General features: G+C 43.4%; 1 protein-coding gene across 3 annotated transcripts in view, besides 6 other annotated features; it reads left to right on the top strand.

The window, feature by feature from the left end:
• Window positions 1-17,697, top strand: part of LYN (LYN proto-oncogene, Src family tyrosine kinase) — a 134,335-nt gene that overhangs the window by 4,282 nt on the left and 112,356 nt on the right. The gene's annotated exons all lie outside the window — the stretch shown is intronic.
• Window positions 1,348-1,627: an enhancer, noted in NCBI's record as "active region_27384". NCBI's record gives its function as "activates an Ori minimal core promoter by ATAC-STARR-seq in GM12878 lymphoblastoid cells {active_cell/tissue: GM12878}" and the evidence as "EXISTENCE:reporter gene assay evidence [ECO:0000049][PMID:35858748]".
• Window positions 1,348-1,748: a biological region, named in NCBI's record as "Sharpr-MPRA regulatory region 4485".
• Window positions 1,454-1,748: a silencer, noted in NCBI's record as "tiled region #4485; K562 Repressive DNase matched - State 5:Enh". NCBI's record gives its function as "represses a minimal TATA promoter and a strong SV40 promoter by Sharpr-MPRA in K562 cells {active_cell/tissue: K562}" and the evidence as "EXISTENCE:reporter gene assay evidence [ECO:0000049][PMID:27701403]".
• Window positions 4,234-4,363: an enhancer, noted in NCBI's record as "active region_27385". NCBI's record gives its function as "activates an Ori minimal core promoter by ATAC-STARR-seq in GM12878 lymphoblastoid cells {active_cell/tissue: GM12878}" and the evidence as "EXISTENCE:reporter gene assay evidence [ECO:0000049][PMID:35858748]".
• Window positions 4,374-4,433: an enhancer, noted in NCBI's record as "active region_27386". NCBI's record gives its function as "activates an Ori minimal core promoter by ATAC-STARR-seq in GM12878 lymphoblastoid cells {active_cell/tissue: GM12878}" and the evidence as "EXISTENCE:reporter gene assay evidence [ECO:0000049][PMID:35858748]".
• Window positions 7,368-7,417: a silencer, noted in NCBI's record as "silent region_19207". NCBI's record gives its function as "represses an Ori minimal core promoter by ATAC-STARR-seq in GM12878 lymphoblastoid cells {active_cell/tissue: GM12878}" and the evidence as "EXISTENCE:reporter gene assay evidence [ECO:0000049][PMID:35858748]".

Genomic DNA, 17,697 nt, shown 5'->3' on the forward strand with positions numbered 1-17,697 from the left:
TGAGATGAAGGCTCACTCTGTCGCCCAGCCTGGAGTGCAGTGGTGCAATCTCAGCTCACGGCAATCTCCGCCTCCTGGGTTCAAGCAATCCTCCCTGCCTCAGCCTTCTGAGTAGTTGGGATTACTTACAAGCATGTGCCACCACACCCAGCTAATTTTTGTATTTCCTGTAGAAATGGGGTTTCATCATGTTGGCCAGGCTGGTCTTGAACTCCTGACCCCAAGTGATCTGCCCGTCTCGTCCTCACAAAATGCTGGGATTACAGGTGTGAGCCACTGCGCCTGGCCTTTCTGGGGTATATTTGGCTTAAGTTAGTTGGAAGGGCTCTCTTTATTTTTTATTCTGCCTCCCACTGAAGAGACAGAGTTCGCTCTTGTCACCCAGGCTGGAGTGCTTTGGCGTGATCCCAGTTCACTGCACCTCCATCTCCTGGATTCAAGTGATTCTCCTGCCTCAGCCTCCCTAGTAGCTGTGATTACAGGCGCCCGCCACCATGCCTGGCTAATTTTTGTATTTTTAGTAGAGATGGGTTTCACCATGTTGGCCAGGGTGGTCTTGAACTCCTGACCTTAGGTGAGCCCGCCTCGGCCTCCCAAAATGCTGGGATTACAGGTGTGAGCCACCGTGCCTGGCCCTGTCTTGTAATTTAGAAGAGCAAGTTTAAATACTTGGGATGATGTATTAAAAAGCCTCATCCATGCTGACAAGAGCAGGGCCTGTAGTAGCCTTTGTTGTTTATCCCCTTCATCCTGTTCTGTACTTCATTTTCTCTCATTACTGAATTAGCTGGCAGCATTCCTTATTTGCCACAGAGCTATTTCTTAAAAGCTGTACTTACACTCAGGATACAGTTTTCCTTGGTATAGAACTCTTCCATGGCATTGCTCTTTCACTGAGCTTTATTAACCCTCAGGCTTCCAGTACCCCTTCTTCTGCTCTCCCCACTTCATTCCCTATCATCTTACAAAGGCTTCTTCAACCAGGAATTGGCATGAGCTGACCGTGTATGGGAAGAGATTGTCAGTTAACCTCATTATTGTAAATGCTCAGTGTTCAGAATGCTGCTACTTAAATGACATCCTATAGAACTGCATGAATCGGGATACATTTAAATAATCCAGTTAAGTGGCTGTTTCTTGATGGTTGAGGCTCTGCTTTTGGGTTGTAGAACACTGGGAAGAAGTCTTCACAGCTCAGATAGTTTTTTAGTTGGTCTCATTTCCTTTCTACAGTCCATGCTTCAGGCAAAGTTACATATTGCCTGCCTGCCCACACCTTTCTGTGAGCATCTGAAATCTTGCTCACTCCTCTTTATTGACACCAGACCATACTGGTTGGAAGCTTCTTTCCAGTCCCCGCTTTCCTCCCTCCATTGGTAAAACATCTGGTGGGGAGGTCTTCGTGTGGTCTTTGGGCCTACCCTTGGGCGCTGGTACAGTGAGACTGGAGAGATGGGTGTGTATTCATTCTGCCTCCCACTGAAGCAATGACGTCTTCTTGGTGTTTGGGTCTCTGGGTGCCCCCACTCTTCCTGTAAATGTTAACCCCCACGGAGGTGAGGGGAATGGAGAAGCTTATCTCAGAGAGGCTCTCTGGAGAGGGAGGACCACTTCTGCTTTCCAGGGGGAAGCTGTGTCACGGAGAGCAGAACTGTAGCCCGATGCTGGAGAGAAAAGGCCCCAGAGGAGGCAGGCAAGGAAGTGATACTTCCTCCACCCCAGGCCCCTGGGTCATTTGCCTGCAGCCCCACCTTCCTTACCACCCAATGCTGCGTTTTCCTCGGGGTTCTTTCTACCCTCTGCTGCCCTCTGCATTTTCGGTTTGCCCTTAAGTGAGGGGTGGGGCGGGGTGGGAGAGAGGAGCAGTCTAGAGTCTTAAGGGCAGAGCCTGCTTTGCGAAGCCCACCCTGGCCATGCCTGACTTTTTCAGCAACGGAAAAATGTACATTTTGAAATTCCCCGTCATGGAAAGTGTTATGAAACTCTTGGGTAGACGTTTCGAAATCTTTTAATGTTCAGGCTACATAATAATTTTTAAATACTAACTATAATAATTCAGGACTATTTTAAAAATTGTTAAATTCCTTGTTAAATTCTTGGGATAGAACAGTGGCTGTCAAACATCTTTTTTTTTTTTTTTTTGAGATGGAGTCTCGCTCTGTCGCCCAGGCTGTAGTACAATGGTGCAATCTCCACTCACTGCAACCCCTCCTCCCAGGTTCAAGCGATTCTGCTGCCTCAGCCTCCCGAGTAGCTGGGATTACAGGCATGCACCAATGCACCACCATGCCCGGCTAATTTTTGTATTTTTAGTAGAGACAGGGTTTCATCATGTTGGCCAGCCTGGTCTCGAACACCTGACCTCAGGTGATCTGCCTGCCTCGGCCTCCCAAAGTGCTGGGATTACAGGCATGAGCCACGCGCCCAGCCTGTCAAACTTATTTGACCACAACCCATAGCAAGAAACATTTTACCTTGTGCTCAAATACACATATCTGTAGGCAAAACAAAATAGAAAAAGGAAAATACAATCTGGTGGAACAGCCCCTCCCCTTAACTTGCAGGGGAATGTGGCCTGGAGCAGCTTTTCTGAGGTAGGATTGGCCAGCTCCATCAGAGTTTGTTTGTTCTGATGCATAATAGATATACATAGTTTCAGGGCACATGTGATAATTTAATACATCATATAATTTGTAAAGATTAAATCAGTATTTGCGATAGCCATCACCTTAAATATTTGTTTTCTTTTTAAATGCTGAATCTTTTGAATTCTTCTAGCTGTTTTGAAATGCACAATAGTTAATGGTGAACTCTAGTCACCCTACCAGGTCTTATTTCTTCTATCAAACAGTATATTTGTATCCATTAATCAACATATTTTCATCCCCCCTTCCAACGTACAGAGATGGGCAGTCCAATAGGGAGGTTTATTAAACAAACACAAATTAAGTCACATTCATATAATGGGATACTTTGTAAATATCTTAAAAGATAAAACATTCAATTACAGTTACTAATATGAAAAATTTTTTTTCAAAAGCTGAACACGGCCAGGCGGCCAGGCGCAGTGGCCCTTGCCTGTAATCCCAGCACTCTGGGAGCATGAGGCAGGAGGATTGCTTGAGCTCAGGAGCTCGAAATCAGCCTGTGCAATTTGTCTCAAACAAACAAACAATAGCAAAAGAGCTGAACACAAACTAGTAGATGACATGATACCATTTCTGAAATAAAATATTCATATATGGACACATCATCTATAAACTGCATTTCAAACAATTTTTATACTAAGATCTTAATAGTGATTATTTCTGGGTGACAGTTGAGTGCTGTTTTTACTTCTGTACGTCTTTATATTTAAAAGAATGAGCATCCCATATATACATAAATATATATATAAATCCCACATATAAATATATACATAAATCCCATATAAAAATATAAATATATATATATATATATACACACACACACACACACACACACACACATATATATATATTTTTTTTTTCCTGAGACAGAGTCTTGCTCTGTCACCCAGGCTGGACTGTGATGGTGTGATCTCGGCTCACTGCAACCTCCACCTCCCGGGTTCAAGTGATTCCTGTGCTTCAGCCTCCTGAGTAGCTGGAATTACAGGCACACACCACCATGCCCAGCTACTTTTTGTATTTTTAGTACAGACAGGGCTTTGCTGTGTTGGCCAGGCTGGTCTCGAACTTCTGGCCTCAAGTTATCCGGCTGCCTCAGCCTCCCGAAATCCGGGGATTACAGGCATAAGTCATTGCGCCTGGCTCCTTATATGATTTTAAAACGGCAGGATATAAGGAGCAATGGAATGAAGCCAGTGGGACTGCAGAAGGCAGGTGGAAGCAGACAGGGAACTTTGGAGCTAGAGTGACTTGAAGGACGCTTGATGGATATAATTGTAAGAGTCCTGTCTCAGGAGAGCTGATGCGCTGTAAATGTTGTAAATAGAACATTTTCTTAAAGAACCTTCCACTGCTATGTTTAGTATTCAGTTTAGCAAACTTTTCCTGGGTAGCTACTGGGAGTCCCGCACAGTGTTAGGAGTTGGGGTACACACCTGCCATGTTGGTGGAAATCCTGAAGGGAGTGGGCCACACACCCTGGAAGAAGGGGCTTTCCTGAGGAAGGACAGCCTGACTATGCAGGGGTCATTCCACATTACCAGAGCTTGTTCCAGAGAGGCAGTGGGAGGCTCCACAGGCAGGCTTGGAGGGTGCTTGGCCCTAATACTAAATGTTGGACTTCATGGCATTAACGAAGGGGAATCACTGGAGCCTTTTAGTATGAAGCTAATCTTTTTGTCCATCACAGGCAACTTCTTGCCTACACTCTTTTACAATATGGCATTTATGACATAGCCAAGAGCGAAGACACGTTGAACACTGACTTAATGCTTTGAGTAGGTGGAGAGTTGAATGACTCAAGGCTACTTCTCTAGAGATTAATTTGAAGCTAGAAAGTAACATTTATTTCTGTTTTCTGTGACAGCAATAGGCTTCAGCTTGTAATCGTCATCTGCAAGTAGGTACTTGACACCTCCCCTAAGTGACCTGGAGAGTGACAGATACAGTAATGGGCACAATCCTTGGTTTTTTGTTTTGTTTTGTTTTTGAGACAGAGTCTCACTCTGTCATCCAGGCTGGAGTGCAGTGGTACGATCTCACTCACCAGGGATTTGGCCACCACGCCTGGCCGAATCCCTGGTTTTAAGCAAAATTTTAATATGGAGTTTATGGTTGTTGGTATAATGAAATGCGGCACCATAGCAGTTGATTTTTGTCTTTCAGAACCACACTGGCTTTTTGTATTATTTCAAATTTGATAGATGCCCAATGTATGTAACAAAAATTTTCCCTCACGTGTATTTCTTTCTTTATTTATTTGTATGTTTTGAGATGGGGTCTCACTCTGTCGCCCAGGCTGAAGTGCAGTGGTGCTATCTCGGCTCACTGCAACCTCCACCTCCCAGGCCCAAGCCATCCTCTCACCTCAGTACTGGGTAGCTAGGATTACAGGCCCCGCCACCAGGCCTGCGTAATTTTTTTGTTTTTTGGGAGGCCAAGGCAGGAGGATAATTTGAGCTCAGGAGTTTGAGACCAGGCTGTAACCCCAGGCAGGAGTACAGTGGTGCAGTCATAGCTCACTGCACCCTTGACCTCCTGGGCTCAAGCCATCTTCCCACTTCAGCCTCCAAGTAGCTGGGACTACAGGTGTGTGCCACTATGCCTGGCTTATTTTTTGTAGAGATGGGGTTTGGCCATGTTGGCCAGCCTGGTGTCAAACTCCTAAGCTCAAGGGATCCACCTGCCTCAGCCTCCCAAAGTGCTGTGCTGGGATTACAGGCGTGAGCCACCACACCCAGCCCAAGTATATTTATCGAGTGCTGTATGTCATGATAGTGGGTGGTTTGGGGGAATACCAACATAAATAAGTGGGAGGTTTCTATCCTAGAGGAGTTTATTGTGCTCTGTTCTCTCTGGATTGTTCACAAACCAGAATGCCGATCAAAGACTTTGCTAGGGTTGTGGGTGGGCGACTTGCTCAGGAGATCCCTGGCACCCAAATGAGTGCCCAGAAATCACTCTGAATGGTCAAAAGTAAGGCAGGGCAGGGCGGTAGAGCACAGGGTGTCGAATTAATTTCATGTGGGGGCTGAAATCCCAGGTCTGTCCCTTCCTAACTGTGGGCTGCTGCTGGCAAGGTGCTGGCCTTGCTAGCCTCAGAGTCCTCATGTTTAAACCTCAGCAGTTTGTTGTGAGTGTTCTAGGTTACAGTGGATTCCAAACTAGCCACAAGTGAAGCACATGGCTAAATGGTAGTCATTGGTATTGTTATCAAAAGCAAGTTGCTTAGCTGGGTGAAGTGGCTCATGCCTATAATCCCAGCACTTTGGGAGCCTGAGACAGGTGGATTGCTTGAAGCCAGGAGTTCAAGGCCAGCCTGGGCAATAAAGTGAGAACCTGCCTCTATAGACAAAAAAAAAAAAAAAAAAAAAGAATAAATAAAAACAAATAAAAATTACTCAGAGTGCAGTGATGTAATCCTATAGTCTCAACTACTCAGGAGACTGAGGCAGGAGGATTGCTTGAGCCCAGGAGATTGAGGCTGCAGTGAGCAATGATTACACCACCACACTCCATCCTGGGTGACAGAGCGACAGCCTGTCTGTAAAATAATAATAACAATAATAAAAAGAAAGTTGCTTAGGATGGCTACTATAAAAAATGAGAAATCATGATGAAATCATGTCATGTTAAAAAAGAACACAACAACAAAAATCAGAAAATAATAAGTGGTGCCAAGGATGTGGAGAAATTGGAATCCTGTGCTTTGTTGGTGGGAGTGTAAAATGCTACAGCTATGATGGAAAATCATATGGTAGTTCCTCAAAAAATTAGACATAGAATTGCCATATGATGCAGCAATGCTGCTTCTGGGTATATACCCCAAATAACTGAATGTGGGGTCTCAGAGATGTTTGTACACTTGTGTTCATAGTAGCATTATTCACAATAGCCAAGAATTAGAAGTAACTCATGTTCATCAATGGATGAAATAAAATGTGGTTTATATGTACATTGGAATTTTTTTTTTTTTTTTTTGAAACAGGGTTTTACTCTGTCACCCGGGCTAGAGTGTGGTGGCACCATTACAGCTCACTATAGACTTGACTTCCTGGGCTCAGGTGATCCTCCCACCTCAGCCTCTTGAGTAGCTGAGACTACAGGTGCATGCCACCATGCCTGGCTAGTTTTTTGTATTTTTTGTAGAGATAAGGTTTTGCCATGTTGTCCAGGCTAATCTTGAACTCCTGGGCTCAAGCAATCTACCTGCTGTGGCCTCCCAAAGTGCTGGGATTGCAGGCATGAACCACCGTGCCCAGCCATACAATGGAATGTTATTCAGCCTTTAAAAAAAGGAAATGCTGGCTGGGTGCGGTGGCTCATGCCTGTAATCCCAGCACTTTGGGAGGCCAAGGTGGGCGGATCACCTGAGGTCGGCAGTTTGACACCAGCCTGACCAACATGGAGAAACCCCATCTCTACTAAAAATACAAAATTAGTCGAACATGGTGGTGCATGCCTGTAATCCTGGCTACTTGGGAGGCTGAGGCAGAAGAATCACTTGAACCCGGGAGGCAGAGGTTGCAGTGAGTCGAGATCCCGCGACTGCACTCCAGCCAGGGCAACAAGAGCGAAACTCCGGCTCAAAAAAAAAAAAAAGGAAATGCTGACACATGATACAACAAGGACAAAACTTGAGGACATCATGCTAAGTGAAATAAGCCAGACACAAAAAGACAAATACTGTATGAGTCCACTAATGTGAGGTTCCTCAAATAGTCAAATTCATAGAGACAGAAAATAGAATGGTGTCTTCCAGGGGCTTGATGGGGGAGGGAATGGGAAGTTACTGCTTAATGGGTACAGAGTTTCAGTTTTGCAAGATGAAAAGAGTTCTGGAGATGGATGGTGTGATGGTTATACAAGAATATGAATGTACTTAATGCCACTGAGTTATATACTTAAAATAGTTACGATACAAGTTTTATATTGTGTTTATTTTACCACAACTTTAAAGAATGAAAAAAAAGTTGCTTGATGAGCAGATACGTGTACAAATAGACAGAGGTGTCCTTGAGGATATTTCATTAAGTTTGATAAATTGCCCTTCTTCTGGCTGGGTATTTACCTACCAAGCAGACGGGTGTTCACTTTTTTGGCAGAGAGAGGACAGGATCTTTACTCTTCGTCATTTAATACATGGCCACGTGGATTGCTGGCTGACAGTATATTGAAATGGCTGTGATGTGGGAGAGGGAATGATAATGGAGAAATTTACAAAGGCAGAGATTGTGGATTACAAAGTAAGGAGAAACTTCTAACCATCAAAGCTGCCTGCATGGGTCCTGGAGAAGGGTCCTTCTCCATCATTAAATGTTTGTCAGCAAAGGCTAAGAGATTCTTACAAGACCTTTTAGAAAAGGTTGCATTAAGGCCAGGGCGCAGTGGCGCACACCTGTAATCCCAGCATTTTAGAAGGCCGAGGCAGATGGATCACGAGGTCAGGAGTTCAAGACCAGCCTGGTCAACAAAGTGAAACCCCATCTCTTCTAAAAATCCAAAAATAGCCAGGTGTGGTGGCACACACCTGTAGTCCCAGCTACTTGGGAGGCTGAGGCAGGAGAATCACTTGAACCTAGGAGGTGGAGTTTGCATTGAGCTGAGACCACGCCGTTGGACTCCTGCCTGGGCGACAGAGCAAGACTCCATCTCAAAAAAATAAATACATAAAAAAGTTGCATTAGATGGCTGTAAAAGGTGCTTCCTGATTTGATGATACAGTTATATTAATATTTCTAGCCATGCACTCATTAACTCCAAATTACATAATAAGAAAGTATCTTTCTTTTTTTTGAGGCAGGGTCTTGCTCTGTCACCCAAGATGGAGTGCAGTGATACCATCATAGTTCATTGCAGCCTTGAACTCCTGGGCTCAAATGATCCTCCCATCTCGAGATCCCAAAGTCCTGGGATTACGAGCATGAGCCATTGTGCCTTGCCAAAGAAAGAATATTTCTGACACAGTTCTTTCTAACAGGATTCGAGGGAATTTTTTAAAAAGTTTTCCCAATGCAGGAGTGTGTGTGTATGTGTGTGTATGTGTGTTTAAAATTTAAGTATAACACTTACATAGAAAAGTGCAGAAAACAGAAGAATCTAGCTGAATGCAAAGCCTTGTGTAACCACCCCCATGATCAAAAAGCAGAATGATGTTGACCCTCCCCCAAGCAGTACTCCCCTGAAAGGCATCTGCCATTCTACTTCTAGTTTTTGTTTAGTTTCCAGTGTAGGCTTCTAAACAATAAAGTGTAGGGAATTGAAAAGCAGTACAAAGCCATTTGGTTTGGCAAATAAACAGATTTTCAAGCTGTGGGTTTGGCTACCACCGGCATCTCTCTGTGTGTGGAATTTACTTGCAATTCAACTGGAGAGCAAGACCTCGTCCTGTTTTACCCTGGCGATTCAGTTGCTAAAATTCTCACACATGAGTTTGATCTGAGCCTTATTTAAATACCTTTTTATTCATCCATTAATTAGTAAAATTAGCTGGCATAAGCTATATATAGCTGGTTTTTCTGCACAGCCAAGTCAATTTATAAATGCAAATATGTGGGTGTGATAAGGGTGGTTTCCACTGACCCACATGTAATCAAACATCCTGTTATATGACACAGTGCCAGTCTGTGCATAGGCATTTGAAAGTACTAACTGGGTTTGTGAATTCAGTGATGCTGTTCTTCAATAAAATAAAGACTCATTTTTCTGATGTTAAGGAACACAGCACCTTTGTTACTGACTGTTATTTCAACTTCTGTTTCATGTAGTTTTGATATTTATTTTTGTTGGGGGTGACAGAGAGAGGCATAATTGACCTGTGGCATTTGTTAATCCATGAAGTCATGCTTCACTTATGCATCATTCAGAAAACACTTCTTGGATACTCACTACTCATGAATATGCATGCATATGACTTGCAGTCAAAGCCATGAGTTCTCAATAGCAAAACTGTTCCAGATATACTCAGAGAGTTAAAATGTTTAAAAAACTTTTTTTTAAAGAAAATTTTCCTTTTATTTTTGTTGTTTTGTTTTGTTTTTTTTTAGAAGCAAGATCTCACTATGTTGCCCAGGCTAGAGTGCACTGGCCATTCACAGGCACGATTATCACTCACACACTATGGTCCTGAGATCCTGGGCTGAAGTGATCCTCCTGCCTCAGCTTCTCGAGTAGCTGGGACTAGAGGCATGTGCCACTGCACCTGGCTTAGAGTATAAATTTTTGTGTCACACAAGATATGAAGAACATGCACAGGCACTGGACCCATCTGTGGGTTCATCTTTCTGTGGGACCCACTAAGGGACCCATCTTTCTGTGAAAAAGTCACAAGTGAAGTCCTGGCCATGCAAGGAATAACCATACCCCAAGAGATCATGCTGAGCCTGTAGTTTGCCTGTCTGCATCCCCCAACCCCCCCAGCTTATTTTTATTTTATTTTTTACTTTTTATTATTTTAGACAGGGTCTTGTTCTGTTGCTGAGGCTGGAGTGCAGTGGCATGGTCATGGCTCCTGCAGCCTCCACCTCCTGGGCTTAAGTGATCCTCCCTCCTCAGCCTCCTGAGTAGCTGGGACTAGAGGTGCATGCCACTGTGCCAGATTAACTTTCTTAATTTTTTTTTTTTTGAGACAGTGGTCACTCTGTCACCCAAACTTAAGTGCAGTGGCTCAATCTTGGCTCACTGCAGCCTCAACCTCCTGGGCTCCAGGGATCCTCCCACCTTAGCCTCCCAAGTAGCTGAGACTACAGGCATGTGCCACTACACCTGGCTAATTTTTTTTTTTTTTTTGACGGAGTCTTGTTCTGTTGCCCAGGCTGGAGTTCATTGGCGCTATCTTGGCTCACTGCAACCTCTGCCTCGTGGGTTCAAGCTATTCTCCTTCTTCAGCCTCCTGTGTAGCTATTATTACAGGCACCTGCCACCATACCCAGCTAATTTTTTTGTATTTTTAGTAGAGACGGGGTTTTGCCGTGTTGGCCAGGCTGGTCTCAAACTCCTGATCTCAGGTGATCCACCCGCCTCAGCCTCCCAAAGTTCTGGGATTACAGGCGTGAGCCACCATGCCTGGCCTGCCTGGCTAATTTTTGTATTTTTTGTAGAGATGGGGTTTTGCCATGTTGCCCAGGCTGGTTTCAATCTCCTGTGCTCAAGTGATCCATCCATGTGCTTCAGCCTCCCAAAGTGCTGGGATTACAGGTGTGAGCCACAGTGCCAAGCCTAAAATTTTTTGTATAGTTGGGGATCTCACTATGTTGCCCAGGCTGGTCTTGAACTCCTGGTCTCAAGCGATCTTCCCACCTGCTTCAGCCTCCCAAAGTGCTGGGATTACAGACGTGAACCACTGCAGCCAGCCCCAAAACCTCCAGTTTATTTCCTCCAGCCACAGTTCCTGATGCTTGGCATCTCTGCGTTTTAACTGCTTGTCTCTGTTAGCAACTGCTGGATGCTACAGAGGATTTGAACAAAGAGTGAATCCTGAGAATGGAGGGAATATTGGACTAAGGAGACTGACCAGAGCAGAACAGTTTCCAAGTGAAGAAGTGAGTCCCTTAGTTGGAAATAAAGTAGGAAGAGATGGGGAAATAACTTGGCTGGATTCCTTACTAATCTTGGTGAATAATATAGGTATGGATTAGTAACACTGTAGTAGCTAATGAAAAATATTCCAGGTTGTGAACTTTGGGGTGTCTGAGGAGCAGCATGATGTCGTAGTCATAAACTGAGAGTCATGAATTGGTTTCTGGGCTGGGTGTGGTGGCTCACACCTGTAGTCACAGCACTTGGGGAGGCCAAGGCAGGAGGATCACTTGAGGCCAGGAATTCAAGACCAGGCTGGGCATCATAGTGAGACCTCATCTCTACAATTTTTTTTTTAAAGGAATTGGCTTCTAGTCAATGCTTTGTCAAATACCAGTCTTGGGACATTAGATGAAGCTCCTTCATCTAATGTTTTTCTAATACATAAAACAGTAATAACAGATTTTTGTTTGGTATCTCATCCAGTTGTTGCAAGGATTAAACGGGGTAATGTACCTGGGAGTTCCTTGAAGAGTCTAATTTTCTACCCAGTTTTGGCTGTTGTTTTGGATTAAACTGTACTACCCCGAGCCTTTTCTTGATTTTGGAGGATCCCTACCCACTCCCTACTCATGGTACCCCTGGCCTGTTCTGGTAGATTCACTCATGCATCATCACCAGTCCTGTGGGGAAGTGGAAATTTGGTGTACATACCAGGTGCACTTTCATTCTTCTCAAAATGTTATGACAAATAGCAAAGAGAACACCTTTTCTTTTATCATTAGCTCATCCTTAAGCATCTCGTTAGGGGTAAAGCAATTAAAAAAAAAAAACAAGTTTTAGCTAGACGTGGTGGCATGCCCCTGTCATCCTAGCTGCTCTGGAGGCTGAAGTGAGTGGGTCCCTTGAGTCCAGGAGTTGGAGGCTGCAGTGAGCTATGATTATGCCACTGCACTCCAGCCTGGGTAGCAGAGCAAGACTCTCATCTCTGAAAAAAAAAGAAAAGAAAAAGAAACAACAACATCAAACAAAGAAACAAAAGCAAGTTTATAAATAAAGAAACAGAATAGCAGGGACATGGATGCAGCTGGAAACCATCATTCTCAGCAAACTAACATAAGAACAGAAAACCAAACACGGCATGTTCTTACTCATAAGTGGGAGCTGAACAATGAGAACACATGGACACAGGGAGGGGAACATCACACACCGGGGCCTGTCGGGGGGTGGGGGGCCTAAGGGAGAGATGGCATTAGGAGAAATACCTAATGTAGATGACGGGATGGTGGGTACAGCAAACCACCATGGCTCATGTATACCTATGTAACAAACCTGCATGTTCGGCACATGTATCTTAGAAATTAGAGTATAATAAAAAAATTTTAAAAAAAAGAAACATAGAATAAAAACCATACCTAATTTAGTAAGAGAGGCATTCCCCCCAAGCTCCTCACGTTTATTTATTTATTTATTTAGAGACAGAGCCTCGCTCTGTTAACCAGGTTGGAGTGCAGTGGCGTGATCTCGGCTCCCCGCAACCTCTGCCTTCCGGGTTCAAGCAATTCTCCCTACCTCAGCCTCCTGAGTTGCTGGGACTACAGGTGCCCGCCATCACCCCCAGCTAATTTTTGTATTTTTAGTAGAGACGGGGTTTTGCCATGTTGGCCAGGTTAATCTCAAACTCCTGACCTTAGGTGATCCGCCTGCCTTGGCCTCCCAAAGTGCTGGAATTACAGGCATGAGCCACTGCACCCGGCCTAAACTTCATTTAAATGATGAGGAAATAACTGCAATGGAATGAGCTGGTTGGAGAACGATGTTACTCACCCGAACGCTGGCTTTATGCAGTTTCAACATCCACAGGTATCTTCTGATTGATCGCATTACAGTCTTGACCTAATTTCTCCTGATAAGGAGCTGAAAATCAAGCAACAGTACATTAGAACTTTGATTCATGTGACGCCTATCATGCCATATAAATGAAAATTCAGAGTTTAGATTAAGAACAGTAAAGCTTTCTCTGTTGTACCTTAAAAGGTACTTCCCTCCTCCTCATAATAATAAGCTACATGCTTCTGGAAGTTTTACCAAGACTTGAGATCAGGAGGGAGCATTCTGACGCTGAGCACACCTCTGACTTTGCACATGGTGGTTTCGAGGGGTTGACAGCAGAAGATCTCCAGAGTCTAGTAACAGTTCTGTCTTACTGTTCAAATTTGCCTTTTCTACCTCAATTTCTCCTCCATTTTAACAGAAAACCTACTACTACTACTTCATATGTATCTAAAATATTTCAAAATCTTTAGTAATGGGATATAAGCACTCTTAGCCATCAGAATAACTTTTAAGGTCAGGTGCAGTTGCTCACACCTGTAATGCTAGCACTTTGGGAGGCCGAGGCAGGAAGATCACTTGAGCGCAGAAGTTTGAGACCATCCTAGGCAACATAGTGAGACCTCATCTCTATAGGAAATTAAAAAAATTAGCCAAGAGTGGTGGCATGGGCCTGTATTCCCAGCTACTCAGGAGGCTGAGTTGGGAGGATTGCTTGAGCCTGAGAGGTGGAGGCTGCAGTGAGTCGAGATCGCGCCACTGTACTCCAGCCTGCGTGACAGTGAGGCCCTGTCTCACAAACAACAACAACAACAACAAAAACTTTTAAAGATTAGTAAGCAATTTTTTTCTTTGGAAAAAATTAAAATGAAAATAGACGATTTTAAGAAAACTTTTTATGTTTTTTAAATCAACTTTAAAATTTTGCTATATAGCTCTATGAATTTTAATACATGTGCAGATTCACTGAATTATTTTCATAATGAGAATACAGAAAAGTTCTGTGACACCCTCCCCCCAAAAAAAAACTTTCTTGTGCCACCCCCAGCCCAATGCCTGGCAACTGCTGACCTGTTGTCTGTCCCCATTGTTTTGTGTTTTCTGTAATGTCATATAAATAGATTCATACTGTATGTGATCGTTTTATTGTCTTTTATAATAACAGCTTTATTTTTACTTTTAATTTTGTTTTGAGACAGAGTCTCCCTCTGTCACCCAGGCTGGAGTGCAGTGGCACACTCTTGGCTCACTGCAACCTCCGCCTTCCGTGTTCAAGCAATCCTCCCATCTCAGCCTCCCAAGTAGCTGAGACCACAGGCACGTGCAACCATGCCTGGCTAATTTTTGTATTTTTGGTAGAGACAAAGTCTCACCATGTTGCCCAGGCTGGTCTTGAACTCCTGGACTCAAGTGATTCACCTGCCTTGGCCTCCCATAGTGTTGAGATTACAGGTGTGAGCCACCCACACCCAGCTGAATAATAGTTTTATTGAGATATAATTCACATATTGTATAATTCACTCAAAGTATACAATTCAGTGATTTTTAGTATGTTCACAGAGTTGTGCAATCATCACCACAATCAATTTTAGAACATTTTTATTACACAAAAAGAAATTCTGTATCCTTTAGCCCTCACTACTCTCTTCCCCTTGTCCTAGGCAGTCACTAATCTATTTCTAGCTCTATAATAAATTTTAGGAAACTGGTTTTAATGATTTCCTTTTTTTAAATAGACAGTTTCTTGCTCTGATGCCTGGAGTGCAGTGGCACAATCACGATCACTGTAGCCTCTGATCTTCTGGGCTCACGCAATCCTCCTGCCTCAGCCTCCTGTGTAGCTGGGACCACAGGTGTACACCACTGTGCTGGGCTAATTTTTTTTATTTTTTGTAAGGATGAGGTCTCCATATATTGCCCAAAGTGTTGGGATTACAGGCATGAGACACTGTACCCAGCTAAGTTTCTTTCTTAGTTGGAAGAGTTTTACAATGATGCCAGCACAGTTACTACCTGTTTTACTTTTGTATCAGGCAATAATTACCTTTCACAGAAAATATAGTAAGAATAGCAATCCTTTATTAAATATTTGTCCTCTGTTAGGTAGTCAATTCCTTAAAAGGTGTAATATTGATATTCTTGTTATTGATAAGGAAACAGATGCTTGGGGATAATAAATATTATGCTCACTTAACTACTAAGTAAATGGAACCCAAGTCAGCCGGACCCCTAAACTGATGTGTTTGTTTTATTTAACTTTGAAAGGTTATTTTTTAAAAAATCACAGTTGTAATATGTGGAACATAATGTCCTTGACTTTAGTTTATCAAGCAGACTTTATACATTAACATAAATGTAAACGCAGGAATAAGACCACTTCTGGGAAATGTATAATAAATATAATGCAGAGAACATTTATTGAGTGCACACGGTATGTCATTCGTTCTTCTAAACACTCGTCAAGATTGTATTCAACCAATCCTTATAACAAGTGTGTGAAGTTGGTACAGTTATCATCCCTTTTCTTTTCTTTTCTTTTTTCTTTTCTTTTTTGAGATGGGGTCTTACACAGTTACCCAGGCTGGAGTGCAATGGCACGATCTCAGTTCACTGCAACCTCTGCCTCCTGGGTTCAAGTGATTCTCCTGTCTCAGCTTCCCAAGTAGCTGGGATTGCAGGCACACGCCACCATGCCCAGATAATTTTTTGTATTTTAGTAGAGATGGGGTTTCACCGTGTTGCCTAGGCTGGTCTGAGCTCAGGCAATCCACCCGCCTCGGCCTCCCAAAGTGCTAGGATTACAGGCATGAGCCACCGTGCCCAGCCTTATCATCCCTTTTCTGCAGATAAGTAAAGATGAATTACCTTGCCAATGTCATGTCACTGTACGAGGTGGAGCTGAACTTGGGCCTAGGATGTTTAGCTCAAGCTTAACTACTGCTCCAGGAATCTAATGCGCTGCCACTCGAACTTCAGGAAGACAAGAGCTCAGACACTGAAAACCAGTCAGCAAGGCCAAAACAAGAGAGCCCCCAGTTCTGCCAACTTGGTGCAATTTTTACTATAACCATAGCTGGGAAAAATGAAGAAGAAAAAAATTCACTGGAGTTGCAATGAATATTTAAACATTGCGTCAAGTTTAAAGCATGATGAGTGTCAAGCCAGTTGAGTTTTCTGCATTAACTTCAGCTGACAACTCAGTTTATATCTATTATAAATGTCACTATTTGTTGGGGGAAAAATAATCTTCCTCTTTTTTATTTTTAATTTTTTTTAGGGATAGGATTTCATTGTGTTGCCCAGGCTGAAGTACAGTGATGTGATCATTGCTCTCTGCAGCCTTGAACTCCTTGGCTCAAGTGGTCCTCCTGCCTCAGCTTCCTGAGTAGCTGAGACTTCAGAGTCACATCACCATGCCCAGCTAATTTTTTTTTTTTTTTTTTTTTGGTGGAGATAGGACCTTACTATGGTGCCCAGGCTAGTCTCAAACTCGTGGCCTCAAATGGTCCTCCAGTCTTGGCCTCCCAAAGTATTGGGATTATAAGTGTGAGCCATTGTGCCCAGTTTAATTTTCTTCTTTTGCCAAAGCAAAGCTAATAATTTTTTTATAGCTAAGATTTAATTATGTTTGGATTAAACCTTCTCTTCAGTATGTATCTCATACTTTTCTTTTGCTAAATACTTATCTAGCTTGCATTTTTTTCCACATTAAGGAGAATAGCTCTTGGAAATCTTATATTCTCCTAACTCTTTATCTTAAAATGCTGCCACAAAATCTTAGACATTGAAAAGTTATTAAGGTTCTAGTTGAGAGTTTACTAACAACAAAAAGAAGGATAATTGGCAAAGAAGACGTGGATTGAGTGAGCCACATAGCCCCTTTCCTGTTCTGGTTTCTTGGTGGCATTTGCAGCAGTGCCTCTATGATGCCTGAGCAAAACTGGTTTATTGGGAAGTGATGTAAACCATACTGCCAGTGCTTTTGCTCAGCACTTGGGCACTTCGTGGCCGTGTGTCTCATATGATGTTCATAATGCTTTTTTTTCCCTCTCCTTCCCCCCGTAATACTTTATGAATAGATGTTTCCACTTCTGAATAGTTCTCCGATTAGAATAGCAGTTACAAAATGGGTAAGACTTCACCTCGTCCTTTAAAACAGGAAAATTGATAGAATTCCTCCACCTCCTTTCATTACTGAGGCTGTCAGATGATTCTTTAAGCAAAACCCCAGTGTTCTCTTGTCTGATGAAGTCAGTGTAAGTGATGGTATTTTTACATTGACTTTAATATGAAAGGAACTGTTTAATTGAACGGTTTCATCTCAAGGCCAGGCTTTAGACTCCTTCTTGGGCTCATGCATGGGATCCTTCTTTTGCACACCTGTGGCCTCCCTGGAACTACTTCTGGTGGTTTCCCTGGACTTAGTATCCCCCAAACCTGGCAGCCCAGGGCCTAGTGACAGGCAGAGGAATGTATTGCTCTTGCTCTGTGGGGTCAGGTAGGGCCGGGGGAGGTCCTGCATGAATATTTTCAGTGCTGATTCAGAAAGAGCATTGGGCATACACTTCAGGAAACCCTACCTGGAAGCTACAGCAGCACTGCTCTATCCTAGACTGACCACTTCAGATATTTCCAACGCGGAGCTGGATGTGGCTAGGAACCGGCTCCCAGCTGAATAGCTTGTGCTGAGTCATTATCA

This window comes from Homo sapiens, chromosome 8 (genome assembly GCF_000001405.40).
Source record: "Homo sapiens chromosome 8, GRCh38.p14 Primary Assembly".
In the NCBI taxonomy this organism is placed as follows: Eukaryota; Metazoa; Chordata; class Mammalia; order Primates; family Hominidae; genus Homo; species Homo sapiens.